The sequence below is a fragment of the Homo sapiens genome, chromosome 9, assembly GCF_000001405.40.
Source record: "Homo sapiens chromosome 9, GRCh38.p14 Primary Assembly".
NCBI classification, from domain to species: Eukaryota; Metazoa; Chordata; class Mammalia; order Primates; family Hominidae; genus Homo; species Homo sapiens.
This window is the reverse complement of record NC_000009.12, coordinates 134,507,153-134,533,675: the sequence shown is the minus strand read 5'-3', so window position 1 is coordinate 134,533,675 and position 26,523 is coordinate 134,507,153. Positions and strand designations below refer to the sequence as shown.

At 48.2% G+C, this 26,523-nt stretch overlaps 1 long non-coding RNA gene across 2 annotated transcripts in view, besides 2 other annotated features; it reads right to left on the bottom strand.

Moving 5' to 3' along the window:
• Positions 1-26,523, bottom strand: part of LOC100506532 (uncharacterized) — a 58,996-nt gene that overhangs the window by 11,588 nt on the left and 20,885 nt on the right. The window contains exons 4-5 of one of the 2 annotated variants that reach the window (NR_188442.1): positions 13,056-13,206; positions 12,229-12,452 (exon numbers count right to left, since the gene is read on the bottom strand). The exons of the other annotated variant lie outside the window; for it this stretch is intronic. This is a non-coding gene — a long non-coding RNA (uncharacterized LOC100506532). Of the gene's footprint in view, positions 1-12,228; positions 12,453-13,055; positions 13,207-26,523 lie in introns of those variants that run through there. 2 annotated transcript variants of the gene reach the window in all.
• Positions 10,781-11,485: an enhancer, noted in NCBI's record as "H3K4me1 hESC enhancer chr9:137414037-137414741 (GRCh37/hg19 assembly coordinates)". NCBI's record gives its function as "activates a minimal SCP1, AML or CMV promoter by ChIP-STARR-seq in primed H9 embryonic stem cells {active_cell/tissue: H9 hESC(primed)}" and the evidence as "EXISTENCE:reporter gene assay evidence [ECO:0000049][PMID:30033119]".
• Positions 14,717-15,217: an enhancer, noted in NCBI's record as "H3K4me1 hESC enhancer chr9:137410305-137410805 (GRCh37/hg19 assembly coordinates)". NCBI's record gives its function as "activates a minimal SCP1, AML or CMV promoter by ChIP-STARR-seq in naive H9 embryonic stem cells {active_cell/tissue: H9 hESC(naive)}" and the evidence as "EXISTENCE:reporter gene assay evidence [ECO:0000049][PMID:30033119]".

The window sequence follows — 26,523 nt, the reverse complement described above, 5'->3', positions numbered from 1 at the left end:
TCCCAGCAGCCCTATTTCCAATCCCCAAAATACACCAACCACCCAAGTGGGACAGGCGAATGGATACACAAACTGTGTTCGTTCCATACAGTGGAATATTATGTGGTCATAAAAAGGAATGGGGTTCTGATTCCTGCTACGACATGAATAAGCCGATGAAAAACACCACACCACACACTATGTAATTCTATTTCTTTTTTTGCAGAGGTGGGAGCAGGGATGAAGTCTCACTCTGTCACCCAGTGCAGTGGTACAATTTCTGCTGAAGGCAACCTCCACCTCCTAGATCCAAGCGATTCTCATGCCTCAGCCTCCCCAGTAGCAGAGATTACAGGCACACACCACCATGCCTGGCTAATTTTTATGTTTTTTAGTAGAGATGGGGTTTCACCATGTTGGCCAGGCTGGTCTCAAACTCCTGACCTCAAATGATCCGCCTGCCTCAGCCTCCCAAAGTGCTGGGATTACGAGCATGAGCCACCGCATCCAGCCTATAATTCTATTTCTATGGAATATCTAAAATAGGCAAATTCACAGAGACAGAAAGTAGATTAGAGGTTACCAGGGTTGGAAGAGGGAAGAATGGGGAGTTAACTACTTAGTGGGTGTAGTTTCTCTTTGGGTTCATGACATTCGGAAAACAGATAGTGGTGGTTACACATTGCCAATGTAATTAATGCCACTGAATTATATACTTAAGATGGTTGAAATGGCAAAGGTTATTTTGGGTTTTTGTCATTGTTCTTGTTGTTGTTTGAGGAAGGGTCTCACTCCGCCACCCAGGCTGGATACAGCGGTGCAATCGCGGCTCACTGCGGCTTCAGTGTCCTGGGCTCCAGCCATCCTCCCGCCTCAGCCTCCCTAGTAGCTGGGACTACAGGCCTGTGCCACCACACCCAGCTAATTTTTTAATTTTTTTGTAGAGACAGGGTCTCACTATGTTGCCCAGGCTGGTCTCAAACTCCTGGAATGCTTAAGCGATCTTCCCACTTTCGCCTCCAAAAGCATTGGGATAACAGGCGTAAGCCATGGCCCCGGCCACAAATTGTATGTTTTATATATTTTACCACAATTTTTAAAAATAATAACATACCAAAAAACATTGAATCATACACTTTAAATGGGTGAGTTGTTTGGTATATAAAATAAATCTCAATAAAGCCATTTTAAAAAAAGAAAAAAAATACACCCAATACATTCCACCCCTTTTGCCCCTCAACCTCCATGTACTCGTGTCCTTCCTCTGGCTGAAAACTTGCTGTCCTCCACGTGCTACCATGTCATCATGGGTGGTGTCTGGACATGGCTCCTCGTGAGATGTGACAGATCAGCTACCACCAAGGCTCTTCACATCAGCGGAGTGGAAAGAGCAGAGGCGGGAAGGAAATGACAGGAGCAGAGCTGCCGCCATCCCGCTTCCGGAGCTGGCCTCGCACCCAGGTCAGCACTCCTAGCTCCTTTCTCCCAATGCAGGTTCTGCGTTCCTCTTGTCCTCTGCCACGGCCTCGGCTGGCAGGGTGACCCAAGGCTCCCCATAACAGACCTGGGTCCTGCCTTGATTCTCTTTCCTTATGAGAACCTTCTTCCAAAAACAGCACATACCTGGGTTTCATATGTTTTTCCAGCCTGTCAATTTCATTCTGTTTTTCCCCTCTGCTGTTTGGCAGTAAACCATTCTATTTCGGTTTATGTTTAGCCGTTGTCCTCACCATTTTGACATGCATACCTAAGCCTGAAATTGATTTCTCTACCTTTCTCTTAAACAGTAAAAGAAACGCAAGACACTTTAACTGCCACCAAATCCTCTCCTGTTAGCTGTGGCTGATATTTTAGTTCTTTTTTTTAATCTTTCAAATTGGATATTATTTAATGCAGTCAAAGTAGACAAGGCTGATGTGTGGCCTCCGCTTTATACCATTTCTTGAGCACCCTCTGGCGTCAGTGGACTTTTGCTTCCAAGAGCAGCAATTCTAGGTCTTTTTATTTATTTATATTTTTATTTTTTGCCCTTGGGATATTGCAGCGCATTTTTTCCCATAGGCTGGAAGAATCAGAGGGAACGGTGGCTGCCCTCCACCTACTCTTGACCAGGCCTGAGGGTGGGAAGCATAAAAACCCAGCCCCTCCCCGGAGTGGGGTAACAGCCAGGCCGAAGCCCTGCTCTTCACTCTTCGGGCTTTGCTGAGAGCCTCCCCCTTGGCCACCTCCCTTTCTGTTCTACTCCCCACTTCCCTGCTGACTTCCCAAGAGTACTTACTCAGTCGGCCTTGGATGAATGTGTGAGTAAATCTAAATGATTCTTTCACATGTCACTCCTTCTGGCATCTCATTCTCCCTTCTGGAATCATTTTCTTTCCTCTTGATTTATATTATTTACAAGTTGTTTTAGAGTGGGTCTGTGAGGAGGATCTAGCTCAGCTTTAGTTTGTCTGAAATTTTCCTTATCCACCATGATTTCAATGACATTTATCTGGTACAGAATTGAAGTTAACAGTTCTTTTGGAGCACTTTGAAAATATTTTCTAATTGTTTGGGGCTTTGTTTTTGTTTGGGGCTTTTTTTGTTGTTGTTGGAAATTGGCTGGCAGCCTACATGCTCTCTGATAGGGAATCTGTCTTTTGTATGGTTGCTTACAGGATCTTCTCTTTGCTTTTAGCACATATTTACTATATGTCTAAATGTCACATAGTAAATACCCAGCTTGCCTTGATGGGGCTTCTTGAATCTGAGGATGCATGTCTTTCATCAGTTACAGAAAACTCTCAGCTACCATTGCTTTAATTACTGCTGTATCCATCTTCCCCCTTCTCTCTTTCTATGGTAGCTGGCCTCCATGATGGGGGGACCCTCACACCAGAATCAGAGCTGACCTGTATGACCAACACAGTGTGGCAGGAGTGACAGTGTGTGACATCCAAGACTGGATCTGAAAAACCCTTGCAGCTTCCCCCCTCCACACAAACACACCCACTTGAATCTCTCACTTTAAGGAAGCTGGGCACCATGCCTCCCTGCCACTCTGAGGACACCCAAGCAGTGCATGAAGAGGCCCAGGTGGAAAGGAATTAAGAGCCCTGGCAAGCAACCTACAACAATTTTCCTGCCATGTGAGTGGATCCTTAGCCCCAGTTGAGCTTTCAGATAATGGCAGCCCCAGCCATCAACTACCTTCAACCTTATGAGACCCCAAGCACAGCCCAACCGAGATTCTCAGTTCCTTATGCACAGAAACAGTGAGAAATGAGAAGTGATTGCTGTTGTTTTGAACCTTAATTTCGGAGGTAATTTGTTATGCAGCAATAAATAACTAAGACATCTTCTGAAATGTCTCTCAATCCCTCTTCTATATTTTCTGTGCTGTCTCTCTCCACTATTTTCTGAATAATTTTTGGCTATATCTTCTAGTTCACTAATTCCCCCTCAGTGGTATCTAATCTTCTTTTAGGCCCATCCAATAAGTTTTCAATTGAATGCTTCTATTTTCTATTTCTAAAGGCCTATTTGGATTATTTTTGAAAAAATTACTCATGACTGTTGATATTTTCTCATGTTTGATTTAATTCTTTATTTCTTTAAACACACTTATCAGTGTGTTTTATATCTGATACTATCAATATCTGAAATCCATAAGGCTTGAGCACTGCTGTTGTTTTCTCTGCTGACTTATGCCTGAGCTGGTTTGCCTCCATCCATGGTCTCTAATTTTGGATTGTGAGTTAATTTTTGGCTGGTATTAATCTTGGGGAAAACAGAGGGAACTGTATAGCGTGCACCTGCACTTGTATGCATCTGCAATCATCTTAAACATTTTTAACTTCATCCCCAAGTTAAGAGTTTCATAAACTATATAGTTGGTACAAATTTGAACACTGAATTCATATGAGAGAAGATGTATGGTTATGAATTCTCAGAGACAGAGCAAAAAGGTTAAAAAAAATAACAAAAGGAGGTCACAGCCAGGTTCTGCAGCCCATTCCTGTAATCCTAGCTTATTGGGTGGCTAAGGTGGGAAGGTCACTTGAGCCCAGGAATTTCAGACCAGCCTGGGCAATACAATAAGACCCTGTCCCAAAAATAAAGTAGATCAGCACGATGACAAAAACTAGAGAGACATAAACTGGACCACATCAAAATTTAAAACTCCATGCTGTAAATAATGATGTCACGAAAATGAAAAGATAACCCACAAAATAGGAGAAAATCATTGCAAATGACATTCCTGATTAAGGACTTGTATATTCAAAATATAGAAAGAACTCTTCAACCACAATAATAAAAAGACAAATAATGTAATTTTTAAAAGGGAAAAGGATCTGAATGTCTATTCAGGAGATTTGCAAATGGCCAGCAAGCACATGAAGAGATGCTCAACGTCATTCACTGTCAGGGAAATGCAAATCAAAACAACAATGAGATACCTCTTCACACCCACTGGGATGGCTGTTACAGAAAAGACAGATGATAACCAGTGTTGGTGAGCGGGTAAAGGAATCAGAACTTGTATAGACTGCTGGAGGGAATGTAAAATAACGCAGCCACTGTGAGAGAACAGTCTGGCAGTTCCTCACAGAATTAAACATAGAGTTAACACATAATCAAGAAATTCAACTTCTGAAATGAAAATGTCCATTCACACAAAAATTTGCACATGGGTGTTCATGGAAGCATTATTTGTAGCTGCCAAAAAGTGAAAATAACCCCCATGTTCACCAATTGATGAATGGATAAATAAAATGTATTACACCCATACAATGGAGTATTAGCCATCAAAAGGCCCAGAGTACTGATCCATGCTACAACAAGAATGAACCTTGAGAGCATGACACTGAGTGAAAGCAGACAGACACAAAAGGCCACATACTGCCTGATTCCCATTATATGAAATGCCCAGAATTGGCAAATCCATGGAGACCAAAAGTAGATTCATGACTGCTGAGGGAAGGAGTCAGGAGAATGTGAATGGGGTTTCCTCTCGAAGGGATGAAGATGTTCTAAGATTATGTTGAGGTGCTGGTTGCACAACCTTGTGAATATGGTAAAAATCATAGACTGGGGACACCTTCAGTGGGTGGGTTGCCTGGGATGTGAATTGTATCTCAACAAAACTGTCCCAGAAAACAGACCACTCTTTCCCCAGGGCTGTCACCCTTCCAGAGATCCAACCTCCTCTTTCATCGGAGACCTGACTCTCCACGCACTACTGGCCCAGACCTTGCCCCCATCTCTAATTCCAGGAGCTGGTTTCGGCAATGATCCCAAGGAGTCCCAAGGGCTCATGGGTCACGCTCTGCTTGGTTTTCAATGCCTGCTTCCTCACCCTCCCTCTCAGAAAGGTTATTTTTTTCTGCAATCATTTATGCCTTTGAGGGGATGTTTGTTGCAATTTGTCCAGATCTTCTAGGTGTTTGGGCGATTTCCACTAGAGCCTCATCACAGGACAAAGGCTTTGACTTGGACAGAGGAGGGCTCAAATCCCAGCTCCACCATGCAGCAGTGTGAAGCCATCAGTGAGTTATTCAATCTCTTCCTTATGCACAGAATGGGGACGCTTCCTCCTAAGATGATTGACGAATGGATAAATAAAATGTATTCCACCCATTTGATGGAGTATTACTCAGCCATGAAGAGGAATGGAGCTCTGATTCATGCTTCAATAAGAATGACATGGAAAACATGATGCCAAGTGAGGAGGCACATGTATCCGCTCATCAGTTGCTCCTTCCTCACAAGCTAGATGCCTACGTGAAGCCTCCTGCACTTGCTGGTGGTTCCTCCTATCCCCAAGGGAAGTCCCCAAACCCTGCTCCCAACGAGCCTTGGTCTTCTGAGACCTTCTGCAATGCATCTCTGCATGTGGCCCTTTCCCCACGGGGCCTGCCCATGGGAGAGGCTCCGATTCTTTTTTTTTTTTTTTTTGAGACGGAGTCTCACACTGTCGGCCAGGCTGGAGTGCAGTGGCGCAATCTCAGCTCACTGCAAGCTCCGCCTCCCAGGTTCATGCTATTCTCCTGCCTCAGCCTCCTTAGTAGCTGGGACTACAGGAACCCGCCACCACGCCTGGCTAATTTTTTGTATTTTTAGTAGAGACGGGGTTTCACTGTGTTAGCTAGGATGGTCTCGATCTCCTGACCTCATAATCCACCCACCTCGGCCTCCCAAAGTGCTGGGATTACAGGCGGCTCCGATTCTCAAGCTGGGCTTCCCGGATGTTCTTCCCCTGAGCAGCTCAGCCCCTCCCTCCCAGAGAGCCCGGCAGCCTCCAGCCCTCATCACCCTTCCTGCACACACAGACCTTCCCTGGCTCCAGAAAGCTTCGGGAACCTCTGCTGCTGCCATCTGATGTCCCCTCTCCATCACCCTGGGCCTTCCACCCTTTCACTCAGTGACTCACCTCCTGGCATGGTTGGACGTTCCACTCCATTGTCCCAGTTCCACCGCCGGACCACCAGGTCTCTCTTCTTAGCTTGTTTCTAGGGCCCCGTCTGGGCCATGCATGGTCCCACAGCCCCGTTCCCCACAAGGTTGTGTGAAATCTCTTGGAGACTCACTGCCTGAAAACGGACTTCCACCTGGAGGAACTCACATTGCTGTCCCCATGAAGAGGGACAAGTGTACGGGGGCTCCCCACAGCGGGGGCTCCCTGAGGGTGGGACTGTTTTGGTTTCATCATCAGTGTCATGCCTCCAGCACAGGGCCTGGCACGTAGCAGGTCAATTTATCTTTTCAGAATGACGGCAAATGGACAGTTTTCTTTTCCCTTTGGCTGCAGGCAGAAGAGGGGGCCGCGAGCCACAGCTCCACCCCACCAGCTGGGAGGACTTGGGCCCGGCTCTGTCTTCTCCTTCTCCCCGCTCTAGTTGGAATTTTCCCCAGCCCAGAGTTGTTTTCTTGTTTTGTTTTGGTTTTGCTTTTTTTTGTCTTTTTATTGCAGGAGAATACATAAAATGTACCACTTTAACCACTTTGCTCTGTGCAGTTCGGGGGCATTGAGTAGATTCCCAAGGTTGTGTAACCATCTCCATGCTCCAGTTCCCGAGCATCTGGCTCAGGGTTTTCCTAGTGTCTTCTCACTTTAATTCTTCACTGTACAGTTTCCCGAGAACCACCTCAAATCCTCATGGAGTGAGACAAGATTTCCACCAATGAATCACTGAGTTTAAAGCATTAAAGTTGGGCTGCTTCAAACCTGTGGCACTCCTGTAAATTCACACTGATACAGGGTGGGTTGAGGGTTCCTGGGGCAGCCTCGACCCCTCGTGCTGTCTTTCTGAATTCTGGCCACCTAGGAACTCCTTCCACAGACACCACCAAACCCTGAAGGCTCCTGTTCTCCGGGGACCCTCCGTGGCGGCGGCATGCCCGAGAGCTGCTTCAGCCTACAGATCCTTGTTTCCTCGGGCAGCACACAACTCTGTCCCCTGGGCTCTGTGCCCTGGTTCTGTGGTTACAAACGATGGGTGCTCAGAAGAGCCACTAGGAGCCTGCCTCCCTGGAAAGGTCTCGGGCCAGGGCTGATCCAAAGGAACCCTCGGGGAGCTCCAACGGCAGCTGTCTGAAGGGCAGCAGCTCCCAACTTCCCGCCGCACTCAGGCAGTCGCCTTTCTCCGCTCTTGTCCTCCTCCTGGCGGTGCCTTTGCCAAACCCTGAGTGGAAACATCTGGGCCACTCCGGCTGGCCCTCAGAGCTGGGATTCGAACACGGTGATTTCATCCTCAGCCGCAGCGCAGGCTGCCGCCGGTCAGCACACTAGACTTGGGCTGCTGTTCTCTGCACCATCCGGCAGTGCTTGGACTCATGGTGGCTCCCAGGAACAGGAGGAAGAGGAGGTCAGTGAACGGGTGAAGTCTTGGTGGCGAAGAGGCACTGCACCCTGCCGCCCATTGGTGCTTTCTTTTAACCTGATTGTCAGTGCCCGGGAGGCTGGGCTCCATCAGGCCTGGGGGAGCACACAGCTGAGAGAAAACCCCACCAGACCAGGTCCCCGACCAGGCACAGCGTCTCCAGGCCAGGAGGCCACGTAGGCCAGAAGACTCTGGGCATTGCCTGTCTACTGTCCAGCGAAGAGCCTCCGTCAAGGAAGGGAAAGAGGTCACCGTATGAACCCCCAGCATGGGGCGGGGCCGGGCTGCATGAGGGCTTTGGGCCCTGTTGACCCCGTCGTATCTAGCAGAGCTGCGGCAGACCGGGCAACTGGGGCTCTGATCTGACGGCAACCTTGGGCTCCTCAGCTGCAAGCTGGGAACACTGGGTCCCCTCTCTCTGGGATCATGTGAGGCGGGAATGTTTGGCATTTTGGGATTTCGCAGGTCCGGCAGCCCAGGGAAGTTTCACCAGGCAAGAGGGTTGTTGGCTGGAAGTGGGTGTGAGCTCACTGTGCACACTTGGGCCTCCTGAGCCGCATTCGTGACCTCAAGGGGGATTGCTGTGGGCAGGGCTGGGCCCGTGTCACTGGTCCTGAGGCAGCAGGAGCCAGGGTGGGTTTGCTGAAAGAACCCACTGGCCTTAGCAACGCCCCTCGCAGGAGATGACGTGGCCTCAGCAGCAGGACTATGCAGGGAGCGCTCTTCTCTGAAAGGCTGACCGACCCTGAGCCAGCCTTTGGGGGTGCCACACAGGGGAAGAGGGACCCCGCAACAGGACAGGCTGCCAGGCACTGGCTCTGGCCTCCAAAAGTCAGCATCATGGGGAAATAGAAGATGGGCATGTCCTGGCATAAAACAGATCCAAGGCTGAACCAGACACACCAGGCACAAGCATGCACTGCCTCAAAAATAAGCATAACGGGCCGTTTTGAACAATTAGGAAATTCGCATGTGGACCGGATCCCAGGGGATGGGAGGGGATGATCAGATGAACAATTAGGAAATTCACATGTGGACTGGATCCCAGGGGATGGGAGGGGATGGTCAGGTGAACAATTAGGAAATCTGCATGTGGACTGGATCCCAGGGGATGGGAGGGCATGGGAGGGGATGGTCAGGTGAACAATTAGGAAATTCACATGTGGACCGGATCCCAGGGGATGGGAGGGGATGGGAGGGGATGGTCAGGTGAACAATTAGGAAAGCTGCATGTGGACCGGATCCCAGGGGATGGGAGGGGATGGTCAGGTGAACAATTAGGAACTTCACATGTGGACCAGATCCCAGGGGATGGGAGGGGATGATCAGGTGAACAATTAGGAAATTCACATGTGGACCAGATCCCAGGGGATGGGAGGGGATGGGAGGGGATGGTCAGGTGAACAATTAGGAAATTCACATGTGGACCGGATCCCAGGGGATGGGAGGGGATGGGAGGGGATGGTCAGGTGAACAATTAGGAAATTCGCATGTGGACCGGATCCCAGGGGATGGGAGGGGATGGGAGGGGATGGTCAGGTGAACAATTAGGAAATCTGAATGTGGACCGGATCCCAGGGGATGGGAGGGGATGGTCAAGTGAACAATTAGGAAATTCGCATGTGGACCGGATCCCAGGTGATGGGAGGGGATGGTCAGGTGAACAATTAGGAAATTCACATGTGGACCGGATCCCAGGGGATGGGAGGGGATGGTCAAGTGAACAATTAGGGAATTCGCATGTGGACTGGATCCCAGGGGATGGGAGGGGATGGTCAAGTGAACAATTAGGGAATTCGCATGTGGACCGGATCCCAGGGGATGGGAGGGGATGGTCAGGTGAACAATTAGGAAATCTGCATGTGGACTGGATCCCAGGGGATGGGAGGGGATGGGAGGGGATGGTCAGGTGAACAATTAGGAAATTCGCATGTGGACGGGATCCCAGGTGATGGGAGGGGATGGGAGGGGATGGTCAGGTGAACAATTAGGAAATTCACATGTGGACCGGATCCCAGGGGATGGGAGGGGATGGTCAGGTGAACAATTAGGAAATTCACATGTGGACTAGATCCCAGGGGATGGGAGGGGATGGGAGGGGATGGTCAAGTGAATAATTAGGAAATTCGCATGTGGACCAGATCCCAGGTGATGGGAGGGGATGGGAGGGGATGGTCAGGTGAACAATTAGGAAATTCACATGCGGAGTGGATCCCAGGGGATGGGAGGGGATGGGAGGCGATGGGAGGGGATGGGAGGGGATGATCAGTTGTCTCAGGTGCTGATGCTGTGGTTCTGAAGGAAACTGTCCCTATTCTCAGGAGAGGGATATCCGCCTATTTGGAGGTCAAGTTTCAGGACGCCTGCAGCTTTCTTCCAAGTGGTTATTAGACCAGAAAGGAGGCAGGAGGAGGAGGAAGACACGAAAAGAGGAAAAGAAAGAAGGAGAGAGGAGGAAGGGGGAGGAGGAGGAGACACAGAGACGTCGGTCAGAAGGCCAGTCCGACTGGGTGGCTGGGGACGTGAAGTAGAGGGACAATTTACACACTCTCTGGACGGGGTTAGGGACCCTGAGATGAATGGTATGCCCACAGTGCTAGCGACAGTGGGAGCCATTACTCCCACCCACTGGTCTGAAGAAGGAACGGGGAAGATTCTGGGCTCTGAGAGGGCAGTTCTAGGCAGAGTCCCTTGACAGGAGCTGCAGCCTCCAGCCGAGGTGCCACATCCCTGGCCACGCTGCAGAGAGGGAGCCGGGAGGAAACATGATGAGTGCATTGTTGAATCCAGGTGGTGGTCGTATGGGTAATCATGTTCTATTATTTCATTCTTTGCTTGAAATGTTGAATGCTTGAAAACTTTCATAATAAAAAAAAAATGGGGCCGGGCATGGTGGCATGCACCTGTAATCCCAGCTGCTCAGGAGGCTGAGAAGGAAGGATCGTTTGACCCCAGGAGATGGAGGTTGGAGTGAGCTGTGATTGCACCACTGCACTCCAGCCTGGATGTCAGGACAAGACCTTTTCTCATTAAAATAAAAAATGAGGAAGGGGTGAGGAAGCAGCCCAGAAAGAAAAGAGGTAAAAACAGACCCCAAAAAGAGCTTCTGGAGCAGCGGCCCCCAGGCAGTGACAGAGAGACAGCCACTCCCCTAGGAAGGATGGCGCAGGCTTCCAGCTCTGGGAGTGCTGTGTACCCCCACACGGGGCCTCCCAGGAGCCTGGGACCTTTGCAGGCAGGCCAAGGGCTGGCTCTCCGAGGGAGCAGAGCCGGCGTGTGTCTGGAGCACCCAAAAATCGGTAAAATATGAATAAAAGGGGCTTCTGGGGAAAAAACGGGGACAAAACCAAGCTGTCTTGGACAAGTTGGAGTGTATTTCACAGTTCAGCACTGTCTCACTGGGATCCCATGGGCGTCAGGGGTGCTCCCTGCTTGGCCTCCTAAGCAGCCTCTGCCAGGCCCAGAGACTCAGCAGACGCTGAGCACAGACCCGCTCAGGCACGGTTCCCAGCAGGTCGGAGGCACCAGCCCTGTGGCCGTCACGCAAACACAAGGACAAGAAAACCCAGGGCCCAGACAGAGGTGGAGACCTGGTCGCTCTGGTGAGGCCCAGCCACGTCAGCCCCTACAGGAAGCCCTGGGGCTCTGGTTCGTGTCTTGGTTGCTCAGCAACCAAGATGTCGTGCCCTCATCGGCACATTGAGGGGACACAGCCCCTGAGCCTGGGGAAGTGGGAGCGGAAAGAGAGAAGGGGCCCAGGGATGAACCAGCGAGAAGCCAGGGCACCCCCACCTGTGGAGAGCCTCTTTCTAACAGGGACAAATGGCAGCTCTGCCTCGTGTCTCTTGTAGGAAATTCGGGGGGACAAGCGTCCACGCAGAGGCGCTTGGTGAGCCATCCTCAGCGCAGGGAAGCTCCCGCACCTCACGGGCTCTGGTTTCAGGGGCCGGCCCATCCTCCACTCTGATAAAGCAAACCTGGGGGTTGCCGTCTCTGGCCCCACCCCTCCAGCAGAGGCCCCCACTCTGAGCAGTACATTCTTGGAAGTCCTCTGGCCTCTGGGGTTATAGCAGGTGCTGTTTCTGCATTGGCTGGAAAAACCAAATGCTACCATCCCTGGACTCCTGGCACTGCCCCAACTCCCCTGGCCCCCAGAAGCTTAGAGCCCAGCCCTGAGGAACTCCTACTAGCCCTTAGAGCTGGAGGTTTCCAGCCAAAAGGAGCAGAGAGCCTGGGACTGGGATCAGGGGGCTAGGGTCCAGCCCCAGCCTGTCCTACCCACACTGTGGGACCGGGGCAGGTTAGCTCACCTCTCCAGGCCTGGTTCTCCCATATTTAAAATACTTTAAAAAAAAAAAAAAAAAAAGGACCTGTCTCCACAGTATAATAATATTATCTATGAGTCCAGACTTTATTTTTTTACACACTGAACCCCCCATCCTCCTTGGGTAGGGCAGAGCAAGGGGACACAAACAAACCACCAGGTCAGGGCTAGATGGGTGCTGTGTCCATGCATCGTGGTTGGTGCAGTTTTGCCCGCGTGCTGAGCCATGCTCTGTTGCTGATGACAGTACTCTGAACAGATTGTGACATGACATGAACACACATGCCCTGCAAAGGAGATGGATGACCATTTGTTATGTCTGCCCTGCCTGTCGAACTCGCCCAGATCTCTCAAGGAGATTTGTGCACCTGTGTGGAGAAAGTTCTTCAAGGATGTTCACCAAAAGGTAGAGAGCAGTTGCCATAGCGTATTTGGATGTGAGAGGATTTTTGTGTTTTTAGCTCTACCTTTTAGTATTATGAGAATTTTTCACAATTAGTGTCAACTTTGGACTTCTCCCAAATTTTATCTTCATAAATAAAAAAAGTATCTGATGGCACCCAAGCACCTTTCCATCTCCAGGGTCTGTGTCCTGAGAAAGGAGGGTTTCCTATAAATGACAGACAGTGGACGATGTGGTATCCAGCACACAGCTCCTTGCAGGGAAAGGGGCACCATGTGGGTAGCATGGCTTTCTTTAATGACAAATGAGCAAAACTGACCACAGACTGAGACAGACCTCACCTAAATCAAGAAGAAAAGAAACATAAGGGGGACATTTTACTCCTTCTGGAGAAAAGAAGGCATATCTCCTTCTCTATTAATAGTTAAAACGTGAAAAAGACACTTTCAACAAAGCCAGGCCAGTGGGAGGGCAGAGGCACACTCACCCGGGCTGGCAGCACACAGGGTGACTTGGCCTCTGAGCACATTTGTGAGTCTGTCGAGAGCCAAGCAGATGAATGGAGGGTTATAATGGATCCAATTCAGTGACACCATGAGGTCTAGGAAGACACCTTGACAGCCCAATAAAGGCTCAACCTATCCTAAGGAAAAAAATAGTAAGTATTTTCAGTGGGTGGGAAAGCTCTATGTATAAAGATGTTATTTGCAGTATTAATTAGGACAGGAAAAAATCAAAATACCTAAATGTTCAGCAGTAGGGAATAGTCAGTCTGAAATGTCTGCCCAATGCCATAGCCCACAGATATTTAATATATCATGACAGACTGTGTCTGCTGTCTGTCATGTATAGGAAAACCACCCAACTCCCTAAGGGGCTGGCCAATAAATCATATCAACTAAAGACCAGGATAGCAGACAAATGGTGTGGCCACCATGACCACCACAGTGTGACACATGCAGGGAAAAACACCTGGAAGGAGGCAGAACAAATGCACATGGCAGTTATTTTAGGGATAAAAATACACATACATAAAAGAGCACACGGAGCAGCCAGGTGGGTGTGGAAGAGTGACAGGGACACAGAGCCTGGCCACGGTGTCACTTCCAACCTGACAGGTGAGGTGTGAGAGTCAGTCCAAGACACCGGTCCAGGGCCCAGCACCCTGCCAGAGCCGCCGGCCATTCATGGCACGCCTGCATGCAGCCCTCCTCCCAGAAAGCCCTGCAGACATTTCATGTGGGCACAGGGAGAGGCCACATGTGTGTTCACTCTCCCAGAAAGCCCTGCAGACATTTTAACGTGGGCACAGGGAGAGGCCACGTGTGTGTTTGTTGCCGACCAGAGAATAGGAATGCAATGCATGGGATGGGGAGGGACGCGTCACTGTCCAGGGAAGGCCCTCAGCCAGCCCACTGGGCCCTGCTGCCCAGCTCCATACCCCCAGGCTGGGCCCTGACTGTGGCAGTTCTCCCTAGTCCTGACACTCACTCGGGGACAGTGTGCACCATGCAACCTCAGGCTCCCACCCTGTCCACTCCCAGTTCCTCAAGTGTGGTACCCCAGGCAGATCTGTCACCTCATCCTCCTGACGTCTCTTTGTAAGGAGAGGACACGGTGGCTCAGGAACCATTTATGCCCAAAGCTACACAGTATGACAGTGCAAGGGCCCAGGACCCCTTGACCAGCCAGGAAGAGCAAGCAGGCAAAGGCCGAGAGCATGGTTTTGGGCCAGCCAGACTTGAGTTCAAGTCTCCCCTCTGTGATGTTTCTGAGTCTCCACATCTTATCTCATAGGGTCACTGGGAGGATTAAATGCACTGATCTGCCTTCGTGGGCTCGCTATGGGATTACTGTGTCAGCTCATAGCCTGACTGTATACACTGGTGCCAGGGCAGCCACAGCCAGAGCCCGGCAATGTCATCCTGCTTGGTACAAATGCTCTCCTTCCCTAGGCCTCAGTTTCCTCACCAAGGGCTGTGACGGTTTGTCCTTTGTGGGTCTCAGGCCTCTGTGGAAGACACAGCCCAACCCCACCTGCAGCCCTTAGCTGTGTAGACACTCAGAGCCAGACAAGACCCTGGTCCTCAGCCTTGTCCACAGCTACAGGTGGGCCACAGTGTATTAGTCCATTCTCACACTGCTATAAAGAGCTGCCCAAGACTGGGTAATTTATAAAGAAAAGAGGTTTAACTGACTCACAGTCCTGCATGTCTGGGGAGGCCTCAGGGAACTTACAGTCATGGTAGAAAGGGAAGCAGCCAGTCTTACATGGCGGCAGGAGAGAGAGAAAAACTACCATTAATAAAACCATCAGATCTCGTGAGAATTCATTCACTATCATGAGAACAGCATGGGGGAAGCTGCCCCCAGCATCCAACCACTTCCCTCCCTAGACGCGTGGGGATTACAATTCCAGATGAGATTTGGGTAGGGACACAGAGCCAGCCCATATCAAGCAGGGAAAGCTGAGCCCTGGGAGAGGTGAGCCGCAGTGGCTGGGGAGAAATGGCTTCCCTGTCCAGGCCTGGAGACCTGGCCTCAGCGGACGGTGCCCAGGCCTGCCAATTCCATGGACTCTGCAGTGAGCAACAGCTCAGCAGCACAGCCGCCCGCAGGCCAGGCCCAGAGCTCCTTGGCGAAGCACCCTCCTAGAACGGGAGGACCACAGCTCGAGGCCCTGGCTCCAGCTGCGCCCGCCCCCACCAGGTGCAGTTCCTTAGTGAACCACCCCACCCCACATTCCTGCAGCCTGGCTGCCGCCTACTCTGCCTGTTGGGGTCAGGCCGGGATTCTGCGGATGAGGCCGTGGTTCTGGGATGAGAGGCAGCAGCCCCACCATGGCCGCAGCAGCCACGGCCCCCTTCTCATTAGCTTGGGGCTCCCAGCTGAGCTGTCACTGGTGGCCCGGCGCCAGCGCCCACCAGGCCAAGCTGCAATGACATCATGTTGGCCTGGGAGGCCGCTAAGTGGAAACAGACGGCGGCCTCCTTCCCGGGCCAGGAGCGCCTCGGGAGGCACCCCGCGAGCAGCCCACCACTGGGTGGACCCAAGGGGACAGAGGTGTCAGGACAGCGGCCCCATCACAGTCCCACCCGAGCCTTAACTGCCATCTGCTTTGCCTCCCCCACTGGCTCGGCCCCACGAGGGTGGGCACGGTGCCCACCTTGCTCGTGTTGTTTCCAGCCCCCAGCGTGGCGCCTGTACATACTTGGTGCTGGGGAAATACCAAATGAAAGGCCGCCCCACTGTCCCCGAGGACTTGGTGGGACCCTGCACCCCCTCCCCCAGAGCCTTTAGGTGGTGTTTCCTGCCTTTCCAGCCTCTCCGAAGTCCCTACCACCCCCAAACATGAACCACTGCCTCTTGCCTGCTGGATGGGAGAGAGACAAGCCACCAGCAGCTGGTGAGACAAGGGACAAGAAATCTACCCGCATGAGGTCCTGAGGCTCCATCCGCCTCCCTGACCTCCATGATCCCTCTGTCCACGTGGGGAGGGACCTGAGCTGGGTGAAGGCGCGGTAGTACCAGTTGGCTGCGGGAGCAGCTGCCAGGCGGGGGTGTCCTCGGGGCACAGGACACCCCTCAGGGCAGGGTTGGCACCAGCCAATACAGAAAAGCAGAGCCCGAACGGGGCCGCCAGCTTTAGGGGGAGCCAGGCTGGGCTAGGGCCCCAAGGAGTCCCACCTTGCAGAAGGGGCCACCTGTCAGCCAACAGTGAGCTGGCCCCACACGGATGAGCCTCAAACGCATTGTGCTGAGTGAAAGCAGCCAGGTGCTGCATGACTCCGCTTATACAAAGCGTCTGGAGTAGGAGAATCCACTGATACAGAAAATAGACTGATGGCTGCTGGGGCCAAGGAGAGGGAGAGGAGGCGGGAGGGGAAGCAGGTGGCTGAGGTGTACGGGGTGCTTCTCAGGTAACAGAAGCATCTGAAATTGATGGTGGAGACAGTTGCCCAGCTGTGAATATTCTCAAAGCCACTGAATTGTACACTTTAAATGAGTGAATCGTATAGTGTCAATTACATCTCAATAAAGCTATAAAAAAAAAAAAAACAGTCACCTCACTGTCGTGTAGAGAAGGCCCAAGGACTGGGGCAGAGATACCCGAGGGGCTCTGCTCCGAGGACCCCCTTATTTGTAAAGTGCATTAAGACCGCCTGGTGGGGACCAAGGGTGTCTGTATGACCCGTCTGCCTTTAAATCGGGCCTTCCCTGCTGCTAGTGGAGATGCACAGAGACCGACAGCTTTGCTATTATCATCATCATTCTTATAGTTACTGTGCTTCTTATGCCTAAAGTGGAGGACCAAGCACTTGACTTGGGTCTCATTTACCCCTTTAAGAGCCTTAGACTGATGGTGTAATCGTCTCATTTATAAATGAGGGAGCTGGGGCACAGAGGACCTCAGCTAGCGCAGGGGTTAGGCAACCTGTCCAAGGACCCACAGCTGACAGACAGCCACGGGGGCCTGAGGCCTGTCACCAGACAAACCAGGCAAGGACCCGCTGGACAGTAAACAGCCACAGGTTCTGTCACCATTCTTGGAGGCTGTCAGAGTATAATTTTCAGAAAGAGCAGGGATCCTGTACAAATATAAAATAAATACATACCAAAAATTTATTAGCTCATTAACACAGAAACTCGTAAGATGGGAAAGTCCATTCCTGGAGCTGTTTGAGGACTTGGAAGGGCATTCTGCAATGCCTTCACCGAAGTAAAACTTCACAGAAGTAAAACTGGTTAATGTACTACAAGGCAATGGCCGTAACCCTCTTCTTTTCTACCAAATACAAATCTACCAGTTAATGTAACTTTACAGAGTCTGAATCCTTAATTAATAGGAAACAGCAAAGTCAGACACAGGCACAGTACATTTCTCTACATAAGTAAATTCTCCTTGCGAGGGCCTGTCATACAATGCCCCAGGATGACTTGGAAAAGATACTTGAAAAAGGATGATTTTTCTTTTCTTTCTTTTTTTTTTTTTTTTTTGAGATAGAGTCTCGCTCTGTTGCCCAGGCTGGCGTGCAGTGGCACACAATGTCAGCTCGCCACAAACTCTGCCTCCCAGGTTCAAGCAATTCTCCTGCCTCAGCCCCCCGAGTGGCTGGGATTATAGGCGCATGCCAAAACACCTGGCTATTTTTTCATGTTTTTGGTAGAGGCGGGGTTTCACCATGTTGGCCAGGCTGGTCTCAAACTCCTGATCTCAAGTGACCCACCCGCCTCAGCCTCCCAAAGTGCTAGGATTACAGGTATAAGCCACTGCGCCAGGCTAGATGATTTTTCTTAACAGGGGAGAGAGTAAACCAAGTCAGATCTGGAAACACATCCCATCTGCTGACTTCAGCTACCTTCTACCAAAAGTCTGTATGGAAACTGGAGGCCGCTAAGCCCCATCCCTGCCTCCCATGAGCAGCATGCAAAGAGACTTATGCCCTCATTTATCCAGCAAGCACGTCCTGAGCAGCTACTGGGTGCAGGCACGGTGTGGGTGCCAAGATGCCTGTGGGCCTCCACTGTCCAGGAAGCTGGACAAGCAGGTTCATCAGGGAAGAGGTGCTAGTTTCCCATGGTGAGCCACAGCAGTAATGAAAGGAGGAGAATGTGGAGGTCAGAAAGGAGCTGACGGGTAGGGCATGGGAGCTGAGAGGGCTCTGGGAGGGCCTCTCTACAAGATGAGATTGAGAAGGGCCTGAAAGATGAGACAGACCCAGTCTTGCAAAGTGCTGGGGGAAGAACCTTCCAGACTATGGGGAAAGGACGAAGATGGGAAAGAGCTTGGCATGGGTGAGCAATGGCACGAAGGCTAAGGCAGCTGGTGAGTGGGCGGTGGGGAGATGGGGCCGGAGGGCTGGAGAGAGGCCAAATCACGTGAGACTCAGCCGTGGCGAGGGAATTCAGTTTCATCCTGACTGTAGTGGAGACACAGGAGGGCTTTCCACAGGAAAGGGAGGGGCTCCGATTTGTGTTTTCAAAGTCTCTGACTGTTGGGGAGCAAGGGTGGCCCCAGAGAGCAATGAGGAGGCTGCTTCTGAGACCGGGGTAGGACGGGGAGTGGCCATGGGGTGGGACAGATAGGGAGGGCAATGGGACAGGGAGGCCCCTTACCCCAGAGCTCGGCTGACTTGCTGATGATGGGGATGTGCGAAGCATGGAGAGAAGGAACCAAGTCCTTCCCTTAACTTACATTTCCGGTAAAGCACCAGGTTAGGTTCATCAGTGCAATCACTCACCGAGGAACAAAACTGCTGAAAACAATATTTTTAAAAGCAAAGAGGTGACCAGATGGTAAGGAATCAGCAGATGCCATCTAAAGGGAGGTGGGGCCACGAAGAGGTGAGCAGGGCCCGGCAACGCCCTTCGTCGTGAGCCTATGGCAGAACCAAATGGGCTCAGAGGCCTTATGCAAGGCACAAAGCCAAGCCCAGGGCCCACTCGAGGAGGCCAGTGGGAGGCCTTGTTCACAGAGCTGGGGCACAAGTTGCACACCCCTCAGATGCAGGTCAGACAGAAAAAAACCCACCCATGCCCCACCTCAGGAGACCACCAGAAACGCTGCCCTGGTGCTGAGCTCAGGGTGGGGCTGGGGTGGGCACATCGCTGAAAATGGCAACCACAAGCCAGCCTTGCGGCACAAGCCCCCATCTCCCGGCGAATTAAAGATGCTCCATCAATGAGTTTGGAGCAAGGTAACCCTGGATCTGCGGTGGCCCAGAAGAACCAAACGCAAATCCCTTCCAGAAAAATTCACCTTCATCCTAGGCCTCAAAGAACCTCCACATATTACATACTAAAGAACACAGGCAGGTCTCAGTACAAGGACAAAGGGAAACAAAATCCAATGAGTAAGAGACAAGAGAGAAAACAGAGAGCAGAAACAGACACGCAGACTTCAAATACTAAAGAAATCAGGCATGTATCATAAAACAACTATGCTTTTATTGAGCTTAAAGAAAAGCCAGACTGAAAATAGTAAGCAGGAAGCTAGAAACAGGCATTGACTTGGTGAAAAAGGAGTAGAAAGCTAAGGTAAAAATATAATTAAGATTATGGCTTTAATATTTATTCTCATAGTATGTTCACTTCAACTGAAGAAGAACTCATAAACTAAAGATAGGTTAGGGCTGGGTGCAGTGGCTCACACCTGTAATCCCAGCACTTTGGGAGGCCAAGGTGGTGGATCATCTGAGGTCAGGAGTTTGAGACCACACTGGCCAACATGATGAAACCCCATCTCTACTAAAAATACAAAAATTAGCCCAGCATGGTGGCGTGCACCTGTAGTCCCAGCTATTCAGGAGGCTGACACAGGAGAATCACTTGAACCCAGAGGGCAGAGATTGCAGTGAGCCAAGATTGCACCACTGCACTCCAGCCTGGGCGACAAAAGCGAAGCTCTGTCTCAAAAAAATAAAAATAAAAAATAAATAAAGACAGGTTAGGTTAGAAGAAATTCTAGAGAATGCTGTACAGTGAGGCAAGAGGATGGGGAATCTGAGAAGTATGGAGGCACGAAGAAGCAAGTCAGAAGGTCTCATGTCATCTCACCAGGCTGCAGAAGGTAAGAAGAGGCAATGGGAGCAGCATGATATTTTAAGAGATAATGCCTGGGGATTTCACAGAACTGATGGGACACAGCCACAGATGTAAAAAAGCGGCTGAGGCGGGCGGATCAAGAGATCAGGGGATCGAGACCATCCTGGCTAACACGGTGAAACCCCGTCTCTACTAAAAATACAAAAAAATTAGCCAGGCGTGGTGGCAGGCACCTGTAGTCCCAGCTACTTGAGAGGCTGAGGCAGGAGATTGGTGTGAATGTGGGAGGCGGAGCTTGCAGTGAGCCAAGATCACGCCACTGCACTCCAGCCTGGGTGACAGAGCAAGACTCCATCTCAAAAAAAAAAAAAAAAAAAAAGCCCAGTGGACCCCAGGTGGGATAAATAAAAAGCCATCCACACCTGGACTCATCTTAGTGAAACTGCAGAAACAAAGAGAAACATCTTCAAAGCAGCCAGAGATGGAGACAATTATCTGCCAGAGAGGCAGGCTGACATCTGACTTGTCAAACACAGGAATGAAAACCAGAAGCCCATGACATGGCGTCTTCGATGAGCTGAAAGAAAACCCCACTGAAACGCCAAGAAAGAGGGCAGAATAAAGACATTTTCAGAAAACCAAAACCTGAGAGAGTTCAACAACAGAGTGTCTCTACTAAAAGCCTAAAAGGTAAATTCCGGGCCCAAGAAACATGATTCTAGGTGGAAGAACTGAGAGGAGGGGGATAAGGTGGGCATGCATCCTGGCAGAAGTGGGTGAGTTGAAAGGAGTTCTGGCTGCAAAAACAAATAAAGCCTGTGGGTTACAATAGGCCAAGACAGAACAGAAATACCTAGAAATCAGCGAGGAGTAAATGTGGAGCCTCAGGGTTCCATGTGGGATTCCTGTGCTGCCGGGGTATTGATTAACTCTGCGTCTTGGTAAGTATAATGCAGTGCATAGGGTCCCCCAAAGTTCACGTCCACCCAGAACCTCAGAATAAGACCTAAATTAGAAATTGGGTCTTTGCCGATGCACATGGTTAAGGATCAAGGTAAGATCATACTGAGTTAGTGTAGGCCCTAAATCCAATGACTTGAGACTTTAAAGGAAGAGAAGAGGACACAGAGCGACACAGAGAAGAGGCCACATGAAGACGGAAGCAGAGGTTGGAGTGATGCAACCACAAGCCAGGGAATGCTTGAAGCCACCAGAAGCTGGAGGAGGCTTCCCTAGACCCTCCAGAGGGAGTGCGGCCTTGCTAACACCTTGGTTTTAGAGTTCCGGCCTCCAGAACTGGGACAGAATAAACTTTCTCTATGTTAGGCCCCACGGTTAGTTGATTTATTATAGCAGCCCTGGAAAACTCATAGAAGCTAAAGATGTATATTGCAACTACTAGATAAACCACAAAAAGACCAGCAATGGTACAGAACTCCTAAACTAATAGAATAGAAAATAGAAATAAAAAAAGACTTAAAGCCAAAAGAAGACAATATAGACGAGAAAAATATGCAACAGCTAAAAATAAAAAAAGTAGTCTATTTGAACCTAAATATAAAGCAATCATATTAAATTTAAATAGACTAAACACTGCAGTAGAAAGACAAAGGCTGACAGACTATGGGGAGAAATCGAACCTCATGGTGTTTACAGAAAATGCTCAAAACATAAAGATCTGCAGAGGTTGGAAGTAAACAGATAAAGAAGATGCAACGGCAAACCAGAGGAAGCCAGACAGAGTATCTGCAGACAAAATGCATCACTAGGAATTGTTGCCTTGCTATAATGAAGAGTTCAATTCACTGGGAAAAGAAAACAAAACCAGTCTGCATAGACTTAAAACACAGCCTGAAAATTAAAGGTAAAAATCAAAAGCCTCCAAGAAGAAACCGGCAAACCCACAGTCCCAGTGGGAGACTTTGAGAGGAGGTGGATAGGCAGAGAAGAGGTGAGCAAAGCAATTAGCGACTCGGTTCCATTCACATGGAACTGCACTCACAAACCCTTCTGAAGCAGACATTTCCTCACCCGAGGAAAGGTGACTATATCTTGAGGCCTACATGGACCTCAAACAACCTCAAAGAATTAAAATAGCCAGCGAATATTTTCTTACCACAGTGCAAGATGATTAGACAATCCTCATATGTTTAAAAACTAATGAACACTTTTTTTTTTTTTTTTTTTGAGATGGAGTCTCACTCTGTTGCCCAGGCTGGAGTGCAGTGGCATGATCTCAGCTCACTGCTAGCTCTGCCTCCCGGGTTCATGTCATTCTCCTGCCTCAGCCTCCCGAGTAGCTGGGACTACAGGCGCCTGCCACCATGCCCAGCTAATTTTTTTTGTACTTTTAGTAGAGACGGGGTTTCACCGTGTTAGCCAGGATGGTCTCGATCTCCTGACCTCGTGATCCACCCGCCTCGGCCTCCCAAAGTGCTGGGATTACAGGCATGAGCCACCGCACCCAGCCTGAACACTTCTAAATAACCTATTTTCAAAGCAAAATTTAACAAAAATTAGAAAATGCTTTTATTGAATACTAAAAATTCATGAAAGTTATGAATACAAAATGCCACATAAAGCAATACATTAAGGACATGTATAGTCATAAGTGATTAGACTAGAGAAAAAGAAAGGTTGACAATTACTCAGCTAAATCCAGATCTCAAGAAGAAAACACAGCAAAATAATTCCAAGAAAGTGGAAGAAAAAATAAAATAATGAATAAGTTAATTAAATAAAAAGAACTTAATGAAATAGAAAACTATAAAATAGAATAAAAAATCAGAGTCAGTTTTTTAAAGATAATAAATAATAAAATTTACTAATTTTGGCAAGACTAATCAAAAGAAAAAATTAGAAAAGTTACAAATTACTTACTAATATTGAGAATGAAAAAGAAAATCACTACACATATTATGATATGGCAATATTATAATAAGAGGATATTATGAAACTTTCCTAATAAATATTAGAATTTGACACAATGAACATGTCCCTAGAAAAATATCACAAACTCAAGAATAGAACCCCTACATGGTCCTATCACCACTCAAGAAACTGAATCACTAGTTCAAAATCTTTCCACAAATAAAACCTCAAGCGAAGAAAAATTCATCAGTAAATTCTCATCACTCTGCTGGGCGTGGTGGCTCACGCCTGTAATCCTAGCACTTTGGGAGGCTGAGGCAGGCGAATCACGAGGTCAGGAGTTTGAGATCAGCCTGTCCAACATGGTGAAACCTCGTCTCTACTAAAAATACAAAAAATTAGCCAGATGTGATGGCGCATGCCTGTAATCCCAGGTACTCAGGAGGCAGAGGCAGGAGAATTGCTTGAACGCGGGAGGAAAAGGTTGCAGTGAGCCGAGACTGCACCACAGCACTCCAGCCTGGGCAACAAAGTGAGACTCTGTTTCAAAAAAAAAAAAAATTCTCATCACTCACAGATAATAGAAAAGAAGGAATTCTACCCCCAAGCCTGACAAGGACAGCATAGGAAATGACCATCATGGGCCAGCCTCACTCATGAACATAAATGCAAACACAAGCTCAGCAAACTAAACCCAACTGCATATGCAGAATCACACACCATGGACAAGTTGAATTTATCTAAGGAATGCAAGGTTAAATGACTGAACATTCAGAAAAATTAATACAACATACTACATTAACAGATTAAAGATTTAAAAGTCATAGGCTCATCTCAGTGAAGACGGAAGAAGATAATTGAATTCAGGATACATTCAGGATTTAAAACTGTTTTTCAGTGAAGGAAATAGACGGAAACTTCTTTAACCTGATAAATAAATAGTATGTACAAAACAGAGAAATAGAAATAAAAGACAACTTCTTTAACCTGACAAAGACTGTGTGCAAAACACCTACTGTAAAATCATATTTAATAGTGAAACTTTAAAGCTATCCTTTGAAACAGGGCATAAGACAATATGTCCGGTCTCACCACCTCTATTCCATATTGTACTAGAAGTCCTGGCCAGGACAGGAAGACAAGGGGATAAAAGCTACCAGCATTGAAAAGGAAAAACCAAACAGTTACCATTTGTTGATGATATGATTATGTACATAGAAGAGCCGTATGAATGTGGAGATAAGCCAACAGACAGGAAGTCTGGCAAAGTTGCCAAATACAAAAATTCATGCACAAATTAGAGTTAAATTTCTACATGATAGCAACAAATATTTATAAATGAAGAAAGATACCACTCATAATATAAAAAATATGAAGTTCCTACGAATATATCTACTGAAAGACATTTATGAAGAAAATAATGTATATTTGGAGAATATGATGAGACTTTGAGCCATATTACAGAATATATAAATAAGTGATTTAAGACGTTAATAGATTGGAAGACTCAGTATTGTAAATAAGTCAACTGTCCCCAAAGTGGGCTATAGATTCAAATTCACTGGACTCAGAATCCCAAGAGAATTGCAATCTGTGGAACTGGCAAAGTGATTTTGAAGTTCATGTTTAATTGCAAAGGGCCAGTTATAGCCAAGACATTCTTGAAGGAAAGCAAGGTAAAAGAACTGTCCCTTCTTATTGTCAGGATTTCTAATCAGGCTGTAATGATCATGACAGTGAGGAATTGGAACAAGAGCAGATAAATCTCCAGGAAAACAAAATCAAAAGCTCAGAAAGACACCCAGACACAGGGACACTTAGATGGATTCACAGCTGTATTCTACCAGAGGTACAATGAGGAGCTGGTACCATTCCTTCTGAAACTGTTCCAATCAATAGAAACAGAGGGAATCCTCCCTAACTCATTTTATGAGGCCAGCATCATCCTGATACCAAAGCCTGGCAGAGATACAACAAAAAAAGAGAATTTTAGACCAATATCCCTGATGAACATCGATGCAAAAATCCTCAATAAAATACTGGCAAACCAAATCCAGCAGCACATCAAAAAGCTTATCCACCACGATCAAGTTGGCTTCATCCCTGGGATGCAAGCCTGGTTCAATGTACACAAATCAATAAACATAATCCATCACATAAACAGAACCAAAGACAAAAACCACATGATTTCTGCATCTCAATAGATGCAGAAAAGGCCTTCGACAAAATTCAACAGCTCTTCATGCTAAAAACTGTCAATAAACTAGGTATTGATGGGACGTATCTCAAAATAATAAGAGCTATTTGTGACAAACCCACAGCCAATGTCATACTGAATGTGCAAAAACTGGAAGCATTCCCTTTGAAAACTGGCACAAGACAGGGATGCCCTCTCTCACCACTCCTATTCATCAGAGTGTTGGAAGTTCTGGCCAGGGCAATCAGGCAAGAGAAAGAAATAAAGAGTATTTAATTAGGAAAAGAGGAAGTCAAATTGTCCCTGTTTGCAGATGACATGATTGCATATTTAGAAAACCCCATTGTCTCAGCCCCAAATCTCCTTAAGCTGATAAGCAACTTCAGCAAAGTCTCAGGATACAAAATCAATGTGCAAAAATCACAAGCATTCCTATACACCAATAACAGACAAACAGAGAGCCAAATCATGAGTGAACTCCCTTTTACAATTGCTACAAAGAGAATAAAATACCTAGGAATCCAACTTACAAGGGATGTGAAGGACCTCTTCAAGGAGAACTGCAAACCACTCCTCAAAAAGAGGACACAAACAAATGGAAGAACATTCTACCCTCATGGATAGGAAAAATCAATATTGTGAAAATGGCCATACTGCCCAAGGTAATTTATAGATTCAATGCCATCCCCATCAAGCTACCAATGACTTTCTTCACAGAATTGGAAAAAACTACTTTAAAGTTCATATGGAACCAAAAAAGAGCCCGCATCGCCAAGTCAATCCTAAGCCAAAAGAACAAAGCTGGAGGCATCACCCTACCTGACTTCAAACTATACTACAAGGCTAGAGTAACACAGCATGGTACTGGTACCAAAACAGAGATATAGACCCATGGAACAGAACACAGGCCTCAGAAATAACACCACACATCTACCACCATCTGATCTTTGACAAACCTGATGAAAACAAGAAATGGGGGAAGGATTCCCTTTTTAATAAATGGTGCTGGGAAAACTGGCTAGCCATATGTAGAAAGCTGAAACTGGATCCCTTCCTTACCTCTTATACAAAAATTAATTCAAGATGGATTAAAGACTTAAATGTTAGATCTAAAACCATAAAAACCCTAGAAGAAAACCTAGGCATTACCATTCAGGACATAGGCATGGGCAAAGACTTTATGACTAAAACACCAAAAGCAACGGAAACAAAAGCCAAAATAGACAAATGGGATCTAATTAAACTGAAGAGCTTCTGCACAACAAAAGAAACTACCATCAGAGTGAACAGGCAACCTACAGAATGGGAGAAAATTTTTGCAATCTACCCATCTGACAAAGGG